At 35.1% G+C, this 23,727-nt stretch overlaps 1 long non-coding RNA gene across 2 annotated transcripts in view; it reads right to left on the reverse strand.

Moving 5' to 3' along the window:
- Positions 1-14,773: 14,773 nt before the first annotated feature.
- LOC105378469 (uncharacterized) overlaps positions 14,774-23,727 on the reverse strand; it is a 39,631-nt gene continuing 30,677 nt past the window's right edge. For both annotated transcript variants that reach the window (XR_007062381.1, XR_007062382.1), the window contains exon 6: positions 14,774-14,896. This is a non-coding gene — a long non-coding RNA (uncharacterized LOC105378469). The remainder of the gene's footprint in view (positions 14,897-23,727) is intronic.

Below are 23,727 nucleotides of genomic sequence, written 5' to 3' on the forward strand. Positions count from 1 at the left end.
TATAATTAAAATTTCCATATGTATGGTTTATTAAACTTTTCTTATCAGATAGAGATTTTTGGATCAATTGCAGATCTCTGCAATGGGAGCCTGGAAATTTATGTCTGTAACATCTCTTGGCCAAGTCATCATATTGTAAACCCATAAAATTGTAACAAACTCTTTATGCAGATTCTTCTTTCATTGTATCTAGGAGGTTTGTTATTAATCTATCTTCCTCTCTTAAAAAGTGTTCCTCAGGCACATTTCTGGTTAAGAAAAATTTGGGCACTTACTGAGTCAATTGTATTTCCATTCCCCATTAATCCATGATTAATATATAACAAGTAAAGTACTTTATTTGTTCAAGTGCTAATTTTGATATGGATGGCTCCCCATAGTCTACATACTTTTGCTAGTAGAAAGTCCAAAGCAAAAATAATTTAGCAATAATGAAGATAAACTATAAGTAGTTGTCTCAAAACTGACTGAATAAGGCTAACGGAAGAAAAATTATACATTTTTAACTTATTTATCTGATAGTGACTTCCTCTTATAAAGAATCATGAAAAGGCATATTGTTATGAATATTCAAAAGGATTTTTAATGGCTTAATAATTTTTCTTCCTTTGTTTCTAGGAAAAGTAGTCATAACACATGCCAAAATAGAGTATCACACTTGTCAGAAGCAGATAAAATAATGTATAACTTGACATGTCTATCTTTCATAGCATTGACTAAGGCAGACCAGCCATCAAAGAAAAGCATTACTCCCATCTGGATTTTAATATAGAAATATCATAGAACTTGCATAATATGGACTCCCCTGATTACAGTTAGAATGTCCAAAGTATAAATGTCACTTACCAGGAGTCATCACTATCAAAAGCTTGTCTTAAAATCTATTTGAAATAGATAATATATTAGCTCCAGATTTTCCCAGCATGATGTTAATACTCACTTATATTCTCTGAGTATATAGACATAAGTAGTTGACAAAGTCACCTGGAGGAAAGAGGAAAAAGCTGATTTTGCTCATTTTATTTTTGCTTCACATGGAACAAAGTGATCCTTTTGCTGGTGACACTCCTTTTTCCTCTCTGACACACCCTCTGGTCTTTTCCTGCTCTGTGCTCTAGAGTGCTGACCCCTATAGACATCATTTGGACTTTCTTCCTTGCATTTGGCCAATGGGAGACACTGGCAGGAATTGGAAGGCAGGAGACTGAGACTAGGGTATTTATTTCCTCTCCTTCTTTGTGTGTCATCTACAGCTTTTGGTGGATGCGCTCAACATTTACAGCTTCTAGAGAATGCTTCCTCTTCCATAGTTCAACATTTTCTGAAGGCTCCTGTTGTACAGTTGCCTTCTCTCCTTTCATCAGACTAGGGATGGAAATGACTTTCTTTTGTTGCTAGTCCCACGATGTCACCATTTCCTGTGGTTTAATTAACCATACCTACATCTCTGTAAAGTTATCTTAATAGTTCCCTTTAGAACCAGTAAATCAGTAAGGGTCCCAGCAGGAAGTAGCAAATTCTAAAGGTTCAACTAAATAGCCCCAAGAAAACATTGAAGCCTCTTAATTTTTGTTTATTTTTAAGATATAGTGCATTGTTTCCCTGGAAATAAACAGTAAAAGGATTTGTTACTAAACTAATTATCTTCCCCTTTGAATTTGCAGAAAGCAGAAATATTATATACAGGTAAATTATTTGTAGCCATTTTTTCTTGCCATGACATATACCTCACATAACTGTCACATGTTCAATTCAGAACTATACACTAGATAAGGATAATATTTATACAAATGAAGGATTTGCCCTTTCCTTTCCTGCTTAAAAAAGAGTATCATAGAGCAAATGTGTGAGAATAAGGTTGTCATAAGTACAATCTTGACACTGTACTTCTTTATTTTTAAAGAAAAGAATTTTCAAAGTTTATTAGCAGTATCCTGTGATTTTCAAAACACCACAGATTCTCTTGGTCACACATACCACAGCAAAGGACAAGTTTTCTAGAGACACAGAGGGAAAGATAACTTTTATTCCAAGAACTTCTACTGGGGGATGAGTGACAAATTGTCTTATTGCTTCCACTTGTTAAAATAATCCCTTAATTCCAAGTTAAAGCAATGTGAATTCAGCAACACTGACACGAAGGCAGCTATGATAGCCTTTTCAAAACTATTTTTGAACTATGTTGAGATGATTTAGTTACCTGGAATTAAATTGAAATTCAGAAATCATAAATATTGTTAGATATTTAAGAAGGCAAAAAAAAAACACAGAAAGTAGAAGTGATGTCTTTTTAACCAATCACCCTAAGATTCATCTCTTTAGATATTGATAGCTATCATAACATTCTTTAATTGAAAAGTGTCTATTGATCATCTACGAAAGCCAGGTTCGGAGTAAAATATGCATTCTAATGAGCGACTCATTAATGGCAGCCAGCAAATAATCCGAACATAAATCTTCATTCTCTAAACAGTTTTGGTTCTTAGTCAAGAAATAAGCAAATAAATTTGATTAGTATTATCTTTGTTAGTGAATACCCTCATAAATACAGTCACGTGCCACATAGTGACATTTTAGTCAATGAGAGACCACATATGGGATGGTGGCCCCATAAGACTGTAATGGAGCTGAAAAATTCCTATCACCTAGTAATGTAGCTGGCATAACATTGTAATAATTAGGTCGAGTATTTAGTATTTGATAATGATAATGAATGACTACCTTAGTGATTTATTTTTACCATACTATACTTTGTATCATTATTTCAGAATGTGATTGTTCTACTGATATATAAAAAATAACTATAAAACAACCTCACGAAGGTACTTCAGAAGGTATTTTCGAAGAAGGCATTGCTATCATAGGAGATAATAGCTCCAAGCATATTCTTGCCCTGGAAGGCCTTCTAGTGGGCTAAGAGATGGAGGTTGGGAGACAGTGACATGGGTGACTCTGACCTTATGTAGGCCTAAGCTAATATGTGTGTTTGTGTCTTAGTTTTTAACAAAAAAGTTTAAAAAGTTAATAAAAATAAAAATAAAAATATTTAAAGTAGAAAAAACTTACAGAATAAGGATACAAAGAAAGAAAATATTTTTGTATACTTGTAAAATGTATTTGTGTTTTAAGCTAAGTGTTATTACAAAAGAGCTAAAAAGTTTCAAAAATGTAAAACCTTATAAAGTAAAAAAGTTACAGTAAGTTAAGGTTAATTTATTATTGATGAATGAATAATTATTTTTTATAAATTTAGTATAGCCTAAGTGTACCATGTTTATAAAGTCTATAGTAGTTTACAGTTATGTCTCAGGCCTTTGCATTGACTCACCATTCACTTACTGATTCACCCAAAGCAACTTCGTTTTCCTGCAAGCTCTATTCATGGTAAGCGCCATATAAAAGTGTATCTTTTTAAAAAATCTTTTATACAATTTTTGCTGTACCCTTTCCATGTTTAGATATGTTTAGATAAATAAATACTTACCATTGTGTTATGATTGCCTAAAGTATTCAGCACAGTAACATGCTGTACAGTTTTGTAACACAGGGGCAATAGGCTACGCCTTATAGCCTAGGTGTATAGTAAGCTATAACATCTGGGTTTGTGTCAGTACACTCTCAATGTTTCCACAACACTGAAATCACCTTAAGACACGTTTCTCAGAATGTACCTCCATTGTTAGGCAATTCATGACTGTATATTGTAATTTTTATATTTCAACTTTATATGATATTTCTTTTCTTGATATCACGATACTCTGACATATTCACAAAAGGAACTGTACTTATATCTTTATGTCGTTAAAGGGTTCACATATAGCTCGAGGTAACCATATAGACTTGCACACACTTTTCCCCCACAAATTTAAATTTCACCATCTGTTAACCATATTAAGACTAATTAGCAAAAATCACTGCATGCTGCATCTTCAACAAGAGACACCATAGAGACATTCAGAGTTATTTTAAAGAATCAGCTCTGCAAATAAGACTTTAATGTGAAGGAGTGCATTTATTATAAAGTTTTACACACTACTCACAGTTTCAATATTTCTTGTTTGCTTCTACTTTGGAGAAAAATGAACGATTTTATGGAAAAATAAGTTGGATTGAACCTTCATTTTTCCCTGTATGTTTTCCTCAAAATAGCAGGCAAAGTAACTCAAATCCCAACATCATAAATGCTATAAAACAACCACTTTAAATAAAAGGTATTATTATTAATGAACCCCATTTTCAGCTAAATCAGCTGATGTTTCAAAAGTTTTTGTCTAGCTTATTCATTTACTGAACTAGTAAGTGAGAGAGTCAGGATTTTGAACACCAAATTCAATTCCCAATCTCCTTCAAATGTACTAGAAGCATCCCATCCAACATTATGTAAAAAAGAAAAAACTTTTGACCAATTAAATTGAACAATTTTTTTTTTTATTTTGAGCAAAGAATGATTCATCAATTGGGCAGCCCTCAGAACCAGAAGAGGTTGAAAGAGCTTCTCTCTGAAGGTAGGCAGAGAGTATTTATAGATAGAAAAGGAAGTGAGGTGCAAAAAATAGCATGGTCTGATCAGTTGACAGCCTGTGATTGGCTGAGACTCAACTATTTTTATTTAAAAAAATACTCCTAAATTAGGTTTTCAGTCTGTGTACATACCAAGTTAGGTTGCAGTTCCTTGAGCAGGGACTCAAGGTATGGAGGCAGCCTCAGGCCAAATTCAGTTTAACAATTACACAAGCAAAGGCATGGCAGCATTGAGAGCACTGGCAAATCCTAAAATTGATTTAATAGTCAGCATAACCATATGTTCAGAATAAAATGGGTTAAAGTATGATTTATTTTAGCGCCAGATAACTGCTTTGCTAATGTTAGTCAGCAAAATAATCACAAAAGAGGAATGTATATTAAATGCAGGTTAAAGGCAGATTTCTTCACCCCTTTCCCCATGAATCTGATTAAACGGGTCCGAAATGCAGTCTAAGAATCAGTTTTTAGTAATCACACTGGACAATAGCATGTAAGAATACAAAGACAACTCTGGGAAATATTGACATAGAAAATGAAAGGGTATGTCCTCAGATTTCCTACTGATCACCTAAATAATCACAGTATTTCCAATGCAAACAAATCAGCTCAATAAAAATTTATCATTGATAATGTTTATTACATCTAATCCTAAAATTATTCAATATAAAAATCATTAAATTGAGAAGAGATTGGAGATTTGCAGATTTAATAACCTGGCATTATAAATAATCTTAGATTTGTTACTAACTGAAGATATTACCAGTGAATATTGTCAAGATGATAAAGGAGTGCAGTGTCTGGCAGAGTGCTCCAGAATTCAATGAAAGAAAATTTCTTGTTTAACAAACGAGACATATACTCAAAACTAATCTCTCACTTAAAGAAAAAGTGGATAAAGGAAACTCAAAAAGGTTGGAAAATGTTCTTTGGGTTTCTTTTATCCTTATAAGCTGTAATTACAAATTTCAATAAGTAATCTTCAGGACCCCAGTCATACTTCCAAAAAGAGAGCAGCAGTATTTCCAATATTCTGCACCCCCCACCTCCCCACAGGTGCCATCTGGGGTTACACCCTAAGGGCAGAGGTGCTTCAGGCAATTACTTACTGCCTGTGGCTAGCAGCATAACTGGGAGAAGCTGATCTCATGTATATTACTTCGTATCTAGAAGTCTCTTGAACTACAAAAGAGATCACTAACACACACTAATTTCAGTTACTTTATTCTCCTGGCTTTAAGGACAGGTCATGAAATGCAGGTTATCACAGGATATGGAGGTTAAATAATGGAACTAAGTGATTTATTAAAAAGAAAACTCCTCAGCCTATAATCCCAGCACTTTGGGAGGCAGAGACAGTTGGATTACTTGAGGCCAGGAGTTTGAAACCAGCCTGGGCAACATGGTGAAACCTAGTCTCTAAGAGAAATACAAAAAATAGCCAGGCGTGATGGTGTGTGCCTATAGTCCCAGCTTCTTGGGAGGCTGAGGTGGGAGGATCACCTGAGTCCTGGAGGTTGAGTCTGTGGTGAGCCATGATTCCACCAATGGGCAACAGAGCAATACCCTGTCTCAAAAAACAAACACACAAACAAAAAAAAAAAAACCAAAGAAGAAGGGCCAGGCGCAGTCGCTCACACCTGTAATCCCAGCACTTTGGGAGGCCGAGGTGGGCTGATCACCTGAGGTCAGGATTTCGAGACCAGCCTGACCAACATGGAGAAACCCCATCTCTACTAAAAATACAAAATTAGCTGGGCGTGCTAGTGCATACCTGTAATCCCAGCTACTCGCGAGGCTGAGGCAGGAGAATCATTTGAATCCAGGAGACAGAGTTTGCGGTGAGCCAAGATCATGCCATTGCACTCCAACCTGGGCAATAAGAGCAAAACTCCATCTCAAAAAAAAAAAAAAAAAAAAAAAGAAGAAAAGTCCTTAATAGAGATTAATAGGGATATATTTAATCTGTGTATGTACATGTGTATCATGATGGGGCGGGGGCAGTGACTGGTGCATGTTGCTGACTTAAGGTATTATTAAATAAAACCTATGTCATTTGAGGATCATCAATGTGTAGGTTTGGTCTGAAAAATATTACTTAGCTGTACAGAGCATGAATAGTAAGTTCAGTAAAGCAAAATCCAAATAAATCTGTAAAATCTGTATAGCTAGGGACTATTAGGATTCAAATTGAGTTTGATACTCATTCCAGTGTTGCTGAAAGAGGACAGTTACAGTTGAACTCTCCTTCTCACTAAAAAGCTCCCAGCCTTCAGTAGCATCATCAAATCATCTAGAAACTTTTAATCTATGAAGTTTTGATAATCTAGACTATTTGATGTATAGCCTATTTCCTTACTCAATAAAGAATGTAAATTATAGATAGGGATCTCACCAAAAGTTGACCTAAGAAAGTTAAAAGCCCCTTATTCAACCAGTTTCTTTTAATTTCTGGCAATGTTATCCATACGCAGCTAAGATGAGTTTTAAAAAGTTTAAAAAGGCTTTACTTTAGTGATCAGTCTTTTCCTCATGCACATTCACATTATATCTGAATGAATTTCTAAGTGATACTGCTTTGATTTATTGTTACAAAATAAAAGCCAACATAGAGGGCTGACCATAAATATAAGGTAGAAACACTAAACCTTATTTTGCAGTCCTGTAAAGAGAGTCATGTGGTTTCACATCTATCATATCACAGTGCCTTAAATCCCACTATTGCTCTACCTTGTCACAGTGCCATGAAATCTCACCAGTTCTTATACTTAGGACATCTTCTCCAAAGCTCCTGGATAGAAATGCACATATGAATGGTAACTTATCCAGCTAGGAGCACCCAGTACTCCCCACTGTGAGTAACCAATTAGACTGGAATGAAGCAAAAGTGAATTCTGATTGACAGAATTTAAGGAGGAAGAACAATGAAAGCAGGGATGATCAGAGGCTGGAGTAGAGCAGCCTAAATGGCACACCAGAGCAATATCCTGTGGTGCAGGACAGACAATACAATGGTCCTGTGGATGAGGATAGGGTGTGCAGAGAAAGGGGCCCAGAAAGAACACAAGGTAAGAGATGGAACTAGAAGTACATATAAGTATAATGTAGAATGTTATAGGCAGCCAAATCATGTTGAAGAAGAACATCTAATAATGTGAGCTTGTAATTAAAATATATCAACTGCAAAAAGCTGGTACAAATGACAATGTATAGTCTGATTTTATATTTGTATAAAATAATAAGCAAATTTCTAGGAGATCTTTGGCCAATTAGAATAACAAATAATTGGGTAAGTACGTGTCTTGAGATTGAACTAGAAATAAATGCATATATATATATATATATATATAATACAAATATATATATATATATATATATATCTCATTCTGTTAATTTCTGAATATCTTTTTGGTTCTGATCCCACTATTTAGAAAATAACAAGAAAGAAAGTGTCCAATGGTAGAGTTTAATAATTTACTACTGCTGCAAAGGCAGTGAGAGCACTAGCTCTCAAAAGCAGTGCTGAATTCTGAATGATCATCCAGATCCCGAGGGATTTTTCAGGCTCTTAGGGGCTTTTGATGTCTGTTTTCCTGACATTGAAGCATTTCTTTTATTCTTGTATGGCTGAACCATAGTGTTCAGCGTTCTTAAGTTTACATAAACCCTCAAATGCCTTTTCCCACATACCTCCAATTTTTGATTTCTTGGGTAAATCCCTATTTCATGCACCACAAATTTCAACATAGGTGTGGAGTCAACTATAAATTTTCTCGTTATAGGTAGATAGATGTAGTTTAAAATTAATATACAAATAGAGATAGATGTAGATCTGTAGATCTATAGATATTTAAATAGATATCATATCTATATCTCTATATATCATCAGGTAGATAAGTAGATAGATAGATGTAAGGCAATTAAATAGCTCCAAATGTTGATAAAGATATAGTACAATGAGAACTATTACATGAATACATCTAAATCAGTACAAGGACTTTGAGAAATAATATGGCATATTTTGTAAAGTTGAAACTGCACATTCTCACCAATCATTATTTTCACTCTTAGGTATCTACACTCTGAAAAAACTCTTTCATCACTGCACCAAAAGACATAAAAAAAAATGTTTGTAGCAGCATTCCTTATAATAGCAAAAATCTGAAAACAAACTAAATGTCCACTGACAGAAGGGATAATAAATTACGGTATATTTTGATACAGCCTTGGAAATAAATGAGCCACCTGTATCAACATGAATGAATCACATCAACAATGTTGCTTCATAAAATAACGTCACAGTAGAAGAAACTCAGTCTAACACCATTTATATAAATTTCAAAATGTATAAAACTAAAGAGCACAGTGGCCTTCCCTTATCCACAATTTTGCATTTTACAGTTTCAGTTACCCTTGGTATAATGCAATAAGCTACTGTATAACAGAGAGAAATAAAGGCCTCATTCACATAACTTTTATTGCTGTATATAATTATTACAATTGCTCTATTTCATTAGTTATTGTTGATATCTTACTGGGCCTAATTTATAAATTAACCTTTATCATATGTATGTATGTGTGTGTAGGAAAAACATAGTATATGTAGAGTTCATTCAGTACTATCAGTGGTTTCAGGCACCTACTGGGGATCTTGGAAGCATGCCTCATGGATAATGGGGGCTTACGAGCCCCCATTTCATATGGGAATACTCGCCTATTTTATAATTATTCTTTAAGTAAAAGAATGATGATAATCATACACCCCATATAGTGGCTATCCTGATTGGGAAGGAAGGGAGGATGTGATCAGGGAAAAACACAAGGCTTCAATAGTGTTGTTTTATAAGCTGTGTGGTTGTTAAAAAAATACTTTAGACAAATTAAATTTAGCCAAGTTTATTTGAGCAAAGAAATGATTCATGAATCAGGCAGCAGTCCTGACCAAAAATGGTTTATAACGATCCATCCCACCCACCACATGTGCAGGCTATATTTATATCCAGAGAAAAGGTAGTGACATACAGAAATAATCTAAATGGTTACAGTCGGCATTTGTCTTATATGGTAATGTTTCGTTAGCCTTCAGCCTCTGATTGGCTGGGGGCTTAGCTGCTATGATTAGCTGAGACTTGGCTATTTGTTAGAAGAGTATACTTTCATGTTGCGTTACAGTCTGTTTATACATCAAGTTCACAGTTCACTACCTACAGAGAAACCTTTAGGCCAAACTTAAAATATGTGTGAAGGTAGGTTTAGGCCAAACATATTTCAATTTAACAGTGGTGAAACATATTTGACCATTTTATTATATTTTATAACATATATATTTCATTTATATATTGAATATTTCAGAATAAACAGATTTAAGACATGATAAAATGATTTTAAACCGAGTCAGAAATCTCTGTGCCTTCAAGAGGAAAAAGTACTATATAATGTGAATACTAATATGTATGTCATTTGATTAGGAGACAAATGGTACTATTGACAGATAAAAGTAGAAACTATTTAATATTGCTTATAATAATATGATATAATAATGAGATATATGTCAAATAATCATCATAGTTAATTGTTAATCTCTTAATGTGCCTAATTTATAAATTAACCTTTATCATATATATGTATGTATAGGAAAAAACATAGTATTTTAAACATTTAATGTATATTAACTATTCTCCTCTTGGTCATCATCACAAAATAAGCATTTGGCTTTTGGAATAATAATTATGAGGCCATAGAGCATATGATTAAGAGTGTTTGTGTGTGTGTGTGTGTTAGAGAACCTGGGTTTGAATCTCAGCTTCAGGTCACTAGCTATGTGACTTTTGCTAATTTTCTGCCATGTGACTCAGTTTCTTTATTTTTAAAATTAACATAAGAAATCTTAGTGTGATTGTGAAGGGTAAATGAGATAAAAATAGGCAAATAACATTTATTTAATAATTTTTATTTGCCAGGTACTGTGTTGAGTCTTCATATAAAGTAATACAAATAAGAAAATAACAGCACGACTAATTTCCTGGATTATTCTACTCATGTTTATAAGTAGCTGATCAAGGCATTAAGCTCCCGCAGGGAGATTGTAAAATCACTGCATCTAATATAAGTGACTCTGTGTCTTGAACTCTATTCCAGGCTTTAAAACAAAGCAAAATATACTTAAACCTAAAAGGTATTCACAATATTTTCATATAATCTAAGCAAGTTTTATCAGCTCCTTATCTCTAATTTTGATGTCATATTTCAATCACGCTGGTTCTTGGTATAGTTGCTTTGATACACTGAGGCAAATGCTTTTATGTTTACCAAGAGAAATATGTTAAAGTCACTTTTTAATGTTGTAACTTTTGCTTAAATATTTATAAGCTTGTTATGAGGCTTGTGGCAATATATTAGATATATTAGAATTGATATATTATGAGGTATGTGGCAATTTAGAATTGATATATTATTTTGGTGACTTGTTCATTTTATTGTTATGACATTGCTCTCAATCTATAGCAATATTTCTTACCTTGAAATCGGTTTTGTCTTTTGGTCAGTGTTTGAATGGTATGTTTTGTTCTTTTTCCATAGATTTTATTTCAAAACATTTCTGCCTTTTAATTAATGATGTCTCTTGTAAGCATCATATTGTTGAGTTTTATACTTTATGTAGTCTAATGATTTTCTTTTTAGTAAAATAGTTCGTATACATGTTATGTAATCATCGATCTATTTGGTTACATATCTACCATTTATTACTTTTTATTTGTCCCATTATTCCCCTTTTTGTCTCCTTTCTTGTCTCATATTAGATTAATGAAGTATTTTTTTTTTGCTAATCCATTATCTTTTCTATTTGCAGATTATTTATACTTTAAAAAAATTTCTTTCAAAAATACCCCAGAAATTATATCATTATGTTTCCCCAAGTGGAAACCTAAACTTTATTCTTTTATTACCTCAGGCAATACTGAGATACTAAAATATTTTTATTTCATTTCACCATCACCTGTGGTGTTCTTGTGACATATTTTATTTTTATGTGTATTTTAAACCTGATAGGACAGTAAGAGTATTTTGTACAGTCAACATTAATTTAGATTTACTTCATGTGGTGATATATAGATACTAATTATAATATTCAAGGCAGCCACTAAGATAATAATTAAAAATATGAATAAAAGAAACAATGAGATAATTTAATATAATTACTGATAAATTAGGACTCATGTCTTCTATTTTCCGATTGTTTTCTATATGTCCTGCCTTTTTTGTTTCTCCATTTCTACACTACTGAATTTTTGAATGTCAACTAGGTATGTTCTAGTTTACTATTTTAATTATGTTGTTGTTTCTTTAATTCTGTATATTTTAGTTATTTTCCTAGTCGTTGCCTTGGGTATTACAATTAGCATCTTAACAAAAAAAAATCTAGTTTTATTACTAATTTAATTTCAGTAGTATACAGAATTTTTTCCATATAGCCCCATTCCTTTCAATTTCCTTAGTGCTGTTTCTGTAATACATATTGCAATTTTATACAGTAGAACCCAACAGAGTTTTTATAGTTATTGCTTTATACAGCTACCTTTTAAATCGGACAGAAGAGTTACAAATATATATTTATACTTACTCTCCTTTATATTTATCTATATTGACCTGCAAGAAATTGCCACAAAGTTGGTGGCCTAAAACAACATACATTTGTTCTATCCCATTTCTGGAGATCAGAAGCTTGAAGTCAGTTTCCCTGGCCAAAGTACATTTCTTGGCAGGCCCAGTTCTTTCTAGTGGCTCTGAGGTGAGAATCTTTTTCCTTGAGTTTTTCAGCTTCTAGTGGCCCACCCTATTTCTTGGCTTGTGGCCTCTTCCTTTGTCTTCGTAGCGCATCATTCCAATCTGTTTTCCATCATCGCATTGCCTTCTCAGCCTATGTAGTCGAGTCTTCCTTATAAAATACTTGTGATTATAATTAGAGCCTCTTATAAAAATACTTGTGATTATAATTAGAGCCTACCTAGTAATCTAGTATACTTTTTCCATCTCAAGATTCTTTATTTAAACACATTGCAAAGTCCTTTTGTCAAATAGAGCGACATTTACAGGTTCTAGGGGTTAAGAAATTGATATCTTTAGGGGCTATTATTCAGCCTGCCACACTGATATGCTTAATTTTATCATTTGGATTCAGGCATACTTTCATGTTGGCTTGATGAGATCCCACTAGTATTTCCTGTAGGGAATATCTGTTAGTGGCAGGAATGTCTTAATTTCTGTTTCATTTTCCAAGGATAATTTTGTTTCATTTTCCAAGGATAATAGCTGAGTAGAGAATTCCTGATTTTTAAAATTTTTCTTCATTTTAAATATGTTTTCCCACTTCCTTACAGCCTTCATGGTTTCTGGTTATAAATACCTGCTAATCATATTAAGGATCTCTTGTCTGTGATGAGTCTCCACTTTTGCTGCTTTCAAAATCCTCTCTTTGTATTTGTCTTTGGATAGTGATGATTTTGATGTGTCATATTATTTTGTTATAATTCATTTTATTTTTATAAGATTGGTAATGCCTCATTTTTCAAGAATGCATATTTGGTTCTTTTACAAATTTCTGTCTCTTAACCAGGATTCTCTTTTTGGTGAGACATCATTGTCATATTTTAGGCAATGTTTTCTTAGCTCTTCAAACATATTTATAAGAGTCAAATGTAAAGTCTTGTATACTAAGTCCAGCATCTGGATGCCTGCTGAGACAGTGTCTATTGATTTTGTTTTTAATTTCCTGAGTTGTGAAAATTTTGATTTTGACAATGTTGCCAGAAATTTAATTGCTTTATGAGGAGCTGATTTATAAAGATTTTCATTCCACCATTCCAGAAGTTTTACACTAGGGCCTCATAACTTTTGTATGTGATTCTGAACTATATCAAATTTGGGACATTTTGCATATGCAAACCAAGGTTTTGATGCCTGAAGATATGGTACATGTGACTTCTGGAGACAAATACGCTAGGCAATCTCATTGTAACAATTACTCAAACTAGAAAAGGGAACGGGATTTAAAGGATGCTTCAATCTATCCATTGCTAAGGAACTTAGGGGGTAACTATATGAAGCTCAAGGTTGGTAATATCATCTATCATCATGAGGTTTGAATGTTTCTTCCCTTTTTTCTAATCAGCAATTGCTTTGATTTTACTGAAAATAAGGGTTGGATCTCTGTTCTGCCAACTTAATTTAAAAAAAAAAGAAAAAATCATGGAGAATTTTAAAGAAAGAGCCATCAGAATGATTGGATGCATATTCCTGAAATTAAACAATCTGATAAAATGTCAGGCTAAATTTGACTTGCAATACGTTAAAACAAGAAAAGAGTATTGTAAGGCCAGCTTAAGGTCCACATATTCTTTGCATCTTCAGAGTAGTATCCTTTATCTCAGACAGGACTCAGATATATTCTTGTGTAACAAACAGACCTAATGTCAAGTTCAAAGAGGAATGGCACGCATAAAAATTTCCTACCAGTCAGATTTTGTTTTCTCAAGTACATATGGTACCAAGTACCACCTTTGTTTAGCATTTCAATAATGTAACCCTTTCAATAATATCTTCTGGGAACTGGTGATTGAGTAAACTAATAATTGAAGCAACACATATAATTGTGATGTCATTATGGGTAGTTTTCTTAAGTTCTCAGCTTGGATGCAATATATCTTGCCACCTATTTAGAAAAAGAAAAGGGGAAAAATTAAAATGCTACAAACCAGCAAATAGCCATAAAAGGTTTCCACTTTTTAATAAGTTTTGCTGTTTAACTTTCACATTGACCTGGATATTACCACAATATGGTACATAAGACTTTTTAAATGAGGAAATTTTCACCAAAGTTCTATTGGAATACAGCACAGCTTGAGTGACCAGGCATGTCTCACAGCAGCTTAACATAGATTCACCTATCAAGGGCATCATTTTATGCATTTCCTGGGTCCACAGCCATAAAGACCCAGGGCAAAAAAGCCAATCAATCACATAACAAAATAAAGAAAGAAATAACATAAATAGAAAACAGCACCAGCCTTACTTTGTTTTAAAACTTGTACATTTGCTCCTTGAAGGGAAAATAGAATTGATATAATTGATATCTGATTATAAATTAGAAATAACTTATAACCTGTGAGTGACATATATATGCATTGTATGTACTGATTGTATTGATACATAGGCCCCAGAAGAAATAATCTATTTGCATACCAAATATACTTGCCTCCCAGTCCCTACTTGGTCATTAAGGAGACTCAGTTACTGCTGTTACATCACCTAATAGTCCCAGTTGGTTTTGATTTCTGAAGTTAGAGTCCTTTTCTGGCATGGTATCCATATGTCAACTCTGGTGGGAGCAAAAGTAGCATTAGTAATCAAGCCTGAAAGAACCAGACACACAGAAGCTCCTATTTGACTCAACTCCCAAGTCACTCAGATAAAGCACCATTCCATTAAGAACAGCATCTAGTTTCCACACTCATATCCAGAGAGGCCTGGTGACAACAGCTAGGAAATGCAGCAATTTAAAGCCTTGTGGGTAATTGGTGAGAGAAATGGAAGAAGAGAGCCAAAAAGTATCCCTCTACTTCTCCTCAGCAGATTCTTCAATGTACGGTAGTTGTCTGCTCCAAGTCATCTCACGTGACTGAGTAAACCAATAAGGTCTAATGTGTATGTTTTAATTTTCACTCTGTTTGCAAAGACCCTGATTAAGGCAGATCCAGAACCCTGTGTGTAAGCATATTAGTTTGTACACGATTTTGGTTTCTTGGGCCTATTTTGATTTTAGCCCCAACTGTGGTAGATAGTTTCATGCATATTGAAAGACTTCCATTTCAAATGATGAAAACGTCTCTCTCCTTTTCAACCTCAGAGCATTTTCCTAAAATTGAGAAATTCGTTCAGTTTACATATTTGTTTCAGTCCTAAAATGCAGAGGAGTTAATGCTTCCAGAAGCAACTCTCAGTAGGTGGGTGCTCTCATGCTTATTGGACATATAATACTGGGAGGTATTTTGTATGCTTCTCAGAAGGGCCAGTAGAATTGAGTCCCTGTTACCCTCAGACCTACTTTGAATACTTGTCCTTAATTTAAATTTTTCTTTTTCATTCTCTCTCTCAACTATTTTATAGTTCCCCTCACAAATTTTCTTTCAAGCTCTATAATTGAGCATGCCTAAACAAAGACAGTTGTCCCAGACGTGGTCCTGAAAAACTTATTCTTGAGGTGGGATTTTGGAACTGGATCTCTCACTGCTCAGATATGAGTTCTTACTGGAAATAAACAGAATGATGATAACCTCTGATGTGTAAAGCAATATCACAACCACCAAGAGCCTCACCTATGATGGACTAAAATTAAATACAATTGAAAGAGGACATATTAACTTATGCATTAGTTCTAGCCCTTGAATGGTGTGGGACAATGGCAATAAAAATTAGGAGGTGGGTGGTTTTTGTTAAATTTCTTAAAAGACTTTAAGAAAGAAAGAGAATGATAAGGTCTCAAGTATCAGAACATGATAAAGTCTGAAGATCTTCTTGGCATTGTTAGAGGTCTTTCCGTGAAGTCAGTGCTGTGCTGAAAATTAGGCTCAGAGTTTAATTGCTAGCAGAATAGCCAAATAAATAACGTAAAACCTCGACAGGCAGCCCAGGGTAAAGTCTGGACCTTTATTTGGGACCCTCAGATTTGTGAGTAAAGTAGAAATGCCTGGGTAATTTCTTGGGAACTGTCTAGGTTGTGAGAACTCCTGCTTGGTTTAGGGTGACTGTCCTCTGTACCGCAGGGTTGGTGGTGAGAGAGTTGCCTTGGAGCTTAGTTCCCTAGTGTCAATGGAAATAACAGAGACCATGTGGTGAAACTCAACCATAAAAGGCAAAGTGAACAGTTTTCTTCTAATGACAGCAAGACTAAAGCAAAAACCAAGGTGCTTTTTCATGCAGAGGTCTATGTTAATGGCTAAGAAAACATGGGGTTCTTGGGTAAGATAGAGAAGCAGCTGATGAGCGTATTGCTTGACTTGTAAAAACAGAAAAATGACAGAGCTTGTGAGAAGCCTGATGTCAGCAGTCTTAAGAGAAAAGTATTTCCATCTCCAGTTTTCAGATACAGATCCTGCCATTTGGATGGGAGGCCAATTTCTACTTGGGTAGTAGGGACCATGAAGTGCCATTGAAAGTCAACACAATAACCAACCTGCCAATCCTTCTGCAAGTGGACCTGCAGCCATTAATCACATAACTTATGAGAGGTGACAGATACAGGGTTTGATCTGACACTGACGCCAGGAGACTCAAAATACCATCATGGAGCTCTGATTTGGTGGGAGCTTATAAAATGACAGGTGATAAATATGGTCATGGCGAACTTCCATCTAACAGTGTGTGCAAAGGCCCCTCAGCTACACCCTATGGTTTTTTCTCCCCTACTTTGACTACAAAATTATAATTGAATAAGTATTTTATTGAATTTTTAGTAACTTTTAGTAATTTACTAAAATTTTTTAGTAATTTAGTAATTTACTAAAAATTTTTAGTAATTTTTATTGAATTTTAGTAATTTTTGTGTTGTCCTTTTAGTAGATATCCAAGATGTGTATATTTGTCTAATTATTGCCTTTTTATTAGTGTATTTACCACTTCCAGAACAATGCAAGAAACTTTAAAAGTTTAACTCTACCCCTCCTGATTTTGTGGTTTGGCTATCATATAGTTTTCTTCTATATCTGTTACACAAGACATAGCTATTATTATTGTTTTATACAGTTAGTGTTCTTTCACATTTACTCACATCTTTTTTTAATTTTACTTTATGATCTGGGATACATCATGTGCAGAACATGCAGGTTTGTTACATAGGTATACATGTGCCATGGTGGTTTGCTGCACCTACCAACCCATCATCTATGTTTTAAGCCCCACATGCATTAGGTATTTGTCCTAATGCTCTCTCTCCTTTTGCCCCCCACCCCCCAACAGGCCCGGGTGTGTGATGTTCCCCTCCCTGTGTCCATGTGTTCTCATTGTTAAACTCCCACTTATAAGTGAGAACATGCAGTGTTTGGTTTTCTGTTCCTCTGTTAGTTTGCTGAGAATAATGGCTTCCAGTTTCATTTATGTCCCTGCAAAGGACATGAACTCATTCTTTCCTATGGCTGCACAGTATTCCATGGTGTATATGTGCCACATTTTCTTTATTCAGTCTATCATTGATGGGCATTTGGGTTGGTTCCAAGTCTTTGCTATTGTAAATAGTGCTGCAATAAACATACCTGTGCCTATCTTTATAGTAGAGTGAATTATAATCCTTTGGGTATATACCCAGTAATGGGATTGCTGGGTCAAATGGTATTTCTGGTTATAGATCCTTGAGGAATCACCACACTGTCTTCCACAATGGTTGAACTAATTTGCACTCCCACCAACAATGTAAAAGCGTTCCTATTTCTCCACAACCTCGCCAGCATCTGTTGTTTCCTGACTTTTTAATAATCGCCATTTTAACTGGCGTGAGATGGTATCTCATTGTGGTTTTCATTTGAATTTCTCTAATGACCAGTGCTTTTGAGCTTTTTTTCATATGTTTTTGGCTGCATAAATGTCTTCTTTTGAGAATTATCTGTTCATACCCTTCAGCCACTTTTTGATGGGGTTGTTTTTTTCTTGTAAATTTGTTTAAGTTCCAAGTTCCTTGTAGATTCTGTATATTAGACTTTTGTCAGATGGGTAACTTGCAAAAATTTTCTCCCATTCTTTCTGTTTACTCTGATGATAGTTTCTTTTGCTGTGCAGAAGCTGTTTAGTTCGATTAGATCCCTTTTATCAATTTTTGCTTTTGTGGCAATGGCTTTTGGTGTTTTAGTCATGAAGTCTTTGTCACAACTTTATTCTTTCTGGAATCCTTCATTCTTTCATGTAGTTCAAAGCCTTTATCTGAAATTATTTTCTTTCAGCCTGAAAAACTTTCTTTAGGATTTCACTTATTTTATGCAGCATGGGTCTTCTGATGATCAATTTTCTCAGGTTTTGTCTGAAAAAGTCTTCATTTTGACTTCACTGTTGAAGAATATTTTCACTAGGTATGGAGTTTAAGATTAGAGTTCTTTTTTTGTTCAATGCTTTAAAAAATGTCATTTTATTGTTTTCAGATTCCATAGTTTCTGTTGAAAAGCCAGACACCAGTTTTACGATTGCTTCTCTGAAGATAATGTATCTATTTTCTCTAGCTCCTTTAAGGTTTTCTTTAACTTTGATGTTTAGCAATTTGGCTATGATGCGTCTAAGTGGGATTTTTCTTTGTATTTCTCCTGTTTTGGCTTCACTGATCTTCTGCAATGTGTGGGTTGAGATGTTTTGTCAAGTTTAGTGTATTTTCAGTCATTATTTCTTCAAATGTTGCTTCTTCCTCATTCCCTCTCTCCTCCCTTTATAGGCTGCCAATTATACACGTTAGGCCTTTGACTATGTATCACATACCTTTTACACTCTGTTCTATTCTTTACATTTTATTTTTCTCTGTGCTTCAGTCTAGATATGTTTCTATTGACCTGTCACTGAATTCACAAATCCTGTTTTCTACTGTGCCCAGACTTTTCAACTATCCATTCAATGGGCCTTTGATTCTGCATATATGCTTTAAGTTCTAAACCAGATTTTTTTATTTTGTTGTCTTCAATTTTGATAATCTTTTCCTCTATTTTAATACATTTTAATAGTTAAAATTCTGCTTCAACTCTAATATCTAAACAACTTGTTATTGAGTCACTTTTATTGCTTTTCTTAGTTTTAAAATAACTAATCCTTTTTAAAAAAGTAATCATACTTTTTTTTATTGAATTCCAGTAATGCACAAAATCTAGAGTCCATGAAAGATGACTCTTTCTTCTCTGTCCACTAAGACTGCAACATATTGTTTAAGGGGATTCCCTACTTTACCCCCAAACAGAAAGGCAGGTAAGTATGAAGCTTACCTAGTGCATCTCTTTTTCCAAGAATCGTATTCCTCAGATTTCTTCCTGCTTTGATTCTTCTCCAGTGTCTTCAAATACTTTTTAAATATTTTGTGCAGTATAGAGAGGAGCATAATTGGAGTTGATTTTTTAGCAGCTGCCAGGATTCTCACATTGGTTTCATGATCCCTATATTAATATTACGGTAGGTAGGGCCAAATGTAAGCCTCTAAAACAATCCTCATTCTCACAGTGAAACCTGAAGTATAATGGTACCCTGTAATCCATTACATGTTATAGATGAACACCATTTTCAAAAATTTAAAGAATGTATAACACTTACAAAAATTAGAGGATTGTTTTGGGTGACTAGTAATTACTATAAAAACTGAATAAACTGATATCCTACTTTTCTGATATAGAAGTGGTTTAACTTTTCTGATAGGGATGATTTATTTTTCGGAATACATCAACAATTTGGTATGGAATTGTTTACCTGATAGTATGGTCTTTTCAAACCCCATCAATAAGGAGGATACAATTCAGTTTGCTTTTATTATGTGGGAAAGACAGAAATATACATTCAGTTGACTCAGGGCTAAGGTAACTCTTCTGATCTCCATCATAATACAGACCACAGGAATGTTAATCATCTTCACATTCTGTAGAACACTGTATTTGAACTCTTTATTGATAACTTTATGCTAATAATGAGCAATCTATCATGTGATGAAAATAATACATTTCATTTAGAAACACACACAAGCAGGTCTAGAGACTGAAAGTCAGTTTCATGAACACATAGATCAGACACCCATACTGCTTCAGTAGGTTGCACCAGTGGTCATGGCTATGGCCTTGTGCAGCATTCCTTATAACCAGGTGAATGAGAAGAAAGCATTCAGGCTTGCTGGGTGATGCTTTGTCTAACTATATCAGTGCAAGCTGACAATGTTATTCTGCCCCTCTAAAGCTTGTTCCAGAAGTGGCCCTAAATAACACTAACTGTTTTTAGTGGACAACTTTAAACGTACATCTTTTTTTGCCAGTGTTTTTGGTAAGAGAATTGATATGAGGTTGGGATGCATACGGACTCCTGAAAAATTGCAAATAGCTTCGCTGTGGTCAGTGGACTGAAAAAAAAATACGGGAACATCATATCTAAGGAGCTTTGGGTAGATGTCTATGCATGAATTTACACAAATGGGCATAAAATATATGGGATATTTGTGTATCATATAAATAAACATCAGAGAAATACCACTGCAAAGAAGGTGCCCAATAGCAGGTATACAGAATTACTCATTCAGTGGACTCTAGCCAGCGTTTGTGTTCTGTCACTCTATTGCTTGTGCAATAGGCTTAGAAAAGGTATATTTATCTTGAATGAAGTCAGTGTATGGTCCCAAGAGCAAAGTCTCCTTCTTAAGTAAGCTGATCCAGCTACCGAAATGGCTGAACACCAGGCATATCAGAAGCACAATCCAAGTGTGAGACTTTGATGTGGCAAAATCCCTTGAGGAGACTAGCTTGGTACTTGGTGTGAAGCTGATATTAGATCCTTTGACTCTGGCAATTATGGATCCTTATTAGACTTGACACTTACTCTAGGCATAGGTTTTTCTTCTCAAAGAGATTTTACAGCAGCATGATCATAGTATTTACAGAATATTTGATAATTGACATGGAATATTGTATAACAAGGGTCCACAACCCCTAGGGAACATCATATGGACAGGTACCTGTCCATGGCCTGTTAGAAACAAGGCTTCACAGAAGGAGGTGAGAAGCGGGCAAATGAGCAAAGCTTCATCTGTATTTACAGCCATCCTCATGGCTTGCATTACCACCTGAGCTCCGCCTCCTGTCAGATCAGCAGTAGCATTAGATTCTCATAGGAGTGCAAACACTGTTGTGAACTATGCATGTGAGGGATCTAGGTTACACACTCCTTATGAGAATCTAATGCCTGCTGATCTATCACTGTCTCCCTTCACCCCCAGATGGGACCATCTAGGTGCAGGAAAACAAGCTCAGGGCTCCCACTGATTCTACACTATAGTAAGTTGTATAATTATTTCATTATATATTATGATGTAATAATAATAGAAATAAAGTGCACAATAAATGTAATGTGCTTGAATCATCCTGAAACCAGCCCCCCCAACTCCATGCCCAATCCATGGAAAAATTGCCTTCCATGAAACTAGTCCCTGGTGCCAAAAGTGTTGAAGACTGCTGTTGTATAACATCATGTCAGACTAATTGGCCAAGTTTAAAGTAAAGAAAAAATAACAATTAATGCATGATCACATAACTCATTTATCTTACCATATGCCACCTTACATGAAATTAGTCTAATAGAATGTTAGGCCAATTAAAAGCTCCTCTAAAGTTCAAGAATAGCATCCCACAGATTTGGGTTTCTGTCTTCTAGAATACAATATATGCAATAAACTAGTAGCCAATATATGATGCTTAGTCTCTAGTGGCTAGAATATATATATAAAATAAACAGTTCTGCTGGTCAAGTTGTGGAAGAAAAATTGATCTTTCTCACCATTACTCCTAGTGAGCCACTTTCAGCATTTGTATTTCTCATCCTCTTTTAGAGTAGAGGCCTTGGTAGCCAATAGAGAGAGACAGAGAGAGAGTGAGTGTGTGTGTTGGGAGTGGGAGGTGCTTCCATAAGGGAATACAACAAATTTTCCTTTAAACTTATAACTGCATTCTGATCACCTTGGGACTATTCATACTGTTTTATTTTTACCTTGCTTTTCCTAAGAGCAAGGGTTGCTGCTTCATAATGGGAGGCAGGATAAAACATCTTTAGGACTCAAGAAGTTCACTGGGGGATTTTCTTGATGCTTTTGTGTCAGCAGCTACAGATTACCAAAGCCAAGGAAACCTGGTGCTGGGATCCCTCAGGGATGAGGGCTGAGTCACCTCAGCATGCAAGTAATACAGCACAGCTAAAGGGCTGGCAAAATTGTACTGAATGTACAATTGGTGAAAACAGGAAAAGGAGGAGTTTACATGGTTTCAGCACTGTTTGTAACAGTAGGGCCTGTAGCATGTTCCACTAATCCTTCCTTACTTAAGCTCATTGTAGAGATTGTGTCTGGCCCTATGTGCAAGAATCAATAAGAAATGTACATAATGTTGAGCAAAAGTGAACCTGAGTCATAAAATGATGGGAGTATAGCAGATGCTTTTTATGTTCCTTATCCTTTTTGGTTGGCCCAACTCTAATTTTCGATGCCATGGTGGTGAATATTTCCACGCCTACTGTGTGCCTTTCTCTGCTTTTGTGCTTCCGGGCCTTCTCAAAAGCCACAGAATTCCAATCATCCTAAGTGAAAACATAATGCAGACATAAGAGTTAATGTTCTCAGAAGTGCTGGGGCACAGAGAATGAGACTCTCAAAGTAAGGTGCTTTGGCATGCTGAGCACTGTTGAACTGAAGGAAATTGGAAGGTCTTAGAAGCTGCCTCAGAAACAAGGACTTTCTAACCTTGTCTTGCTTTTCCTCCCCAAGTGCAGGGAGGTGATCTCTCTGAATGTTCCCTTATCTAATAAAAATTTCTTCTAAAAAAAAAAAAAGAAAGCAATTGTCTTAAGACTCTCTCCCTAGGAATCTCATCAAATAACCAGGAAAGATTAACTACAGCAGAAAAGACTAAAACACATTATGCCCCACATACTTTTCATCTGTTCTGAGAGCAGCTTCAAGAGATTACCTGGGAGACTTTATCTGTGTAGTAAGAAAACTTTGTTCACAGTGAAGTTCTTCCCCGCACCTTCTCACCACCTCCCCTAGAGCTCAGAAAAACTTTATTTCAGGCCATGTCTGTTTAGGCCCATTCATTTTCCCCTAAAAATCATTTGCTACCCCTCACAAGTGCCCACCTCTCCCTTTTCCCTCTTCCCTATTTATTAAGAGGGTATTTTTATTAAGAGGGTATTTAAGCCTCAACCATCTGGCTTTTCTCTGAATCTCACATTTTTGAGACTTCCAGGTTCATGTACATGTTTATAAATTTGTATGACTTTTCTTCTGGTAATTTGTCTATTGCCAGTTTATTTCAGCAGGAGGACTTGATCATTGAACTGTCAGCGTGAAAGTTTAAACTTCCCCTACAAGAATCCACCTTTCATCAGTGGGGTATGGGAGCCAGTGAACAACTCTGGGAGGCTGTTGCTATGTTTCTCAGAAACCCCAAA

The sequence above is a fragment of the Homo sapiens genome, chromosome 10, assembly GCF_000001405.40.
Source record: "Homo sapiens chromosome 10, GRCh38.p14 Primary Assembly".
Classification (NCBI taxonomy): domain Eukaryota; kingdom Metazoa; phylum Chordata; class Mammalia; order Primates; family Hominidae; genus Homo; species Homo sapiens.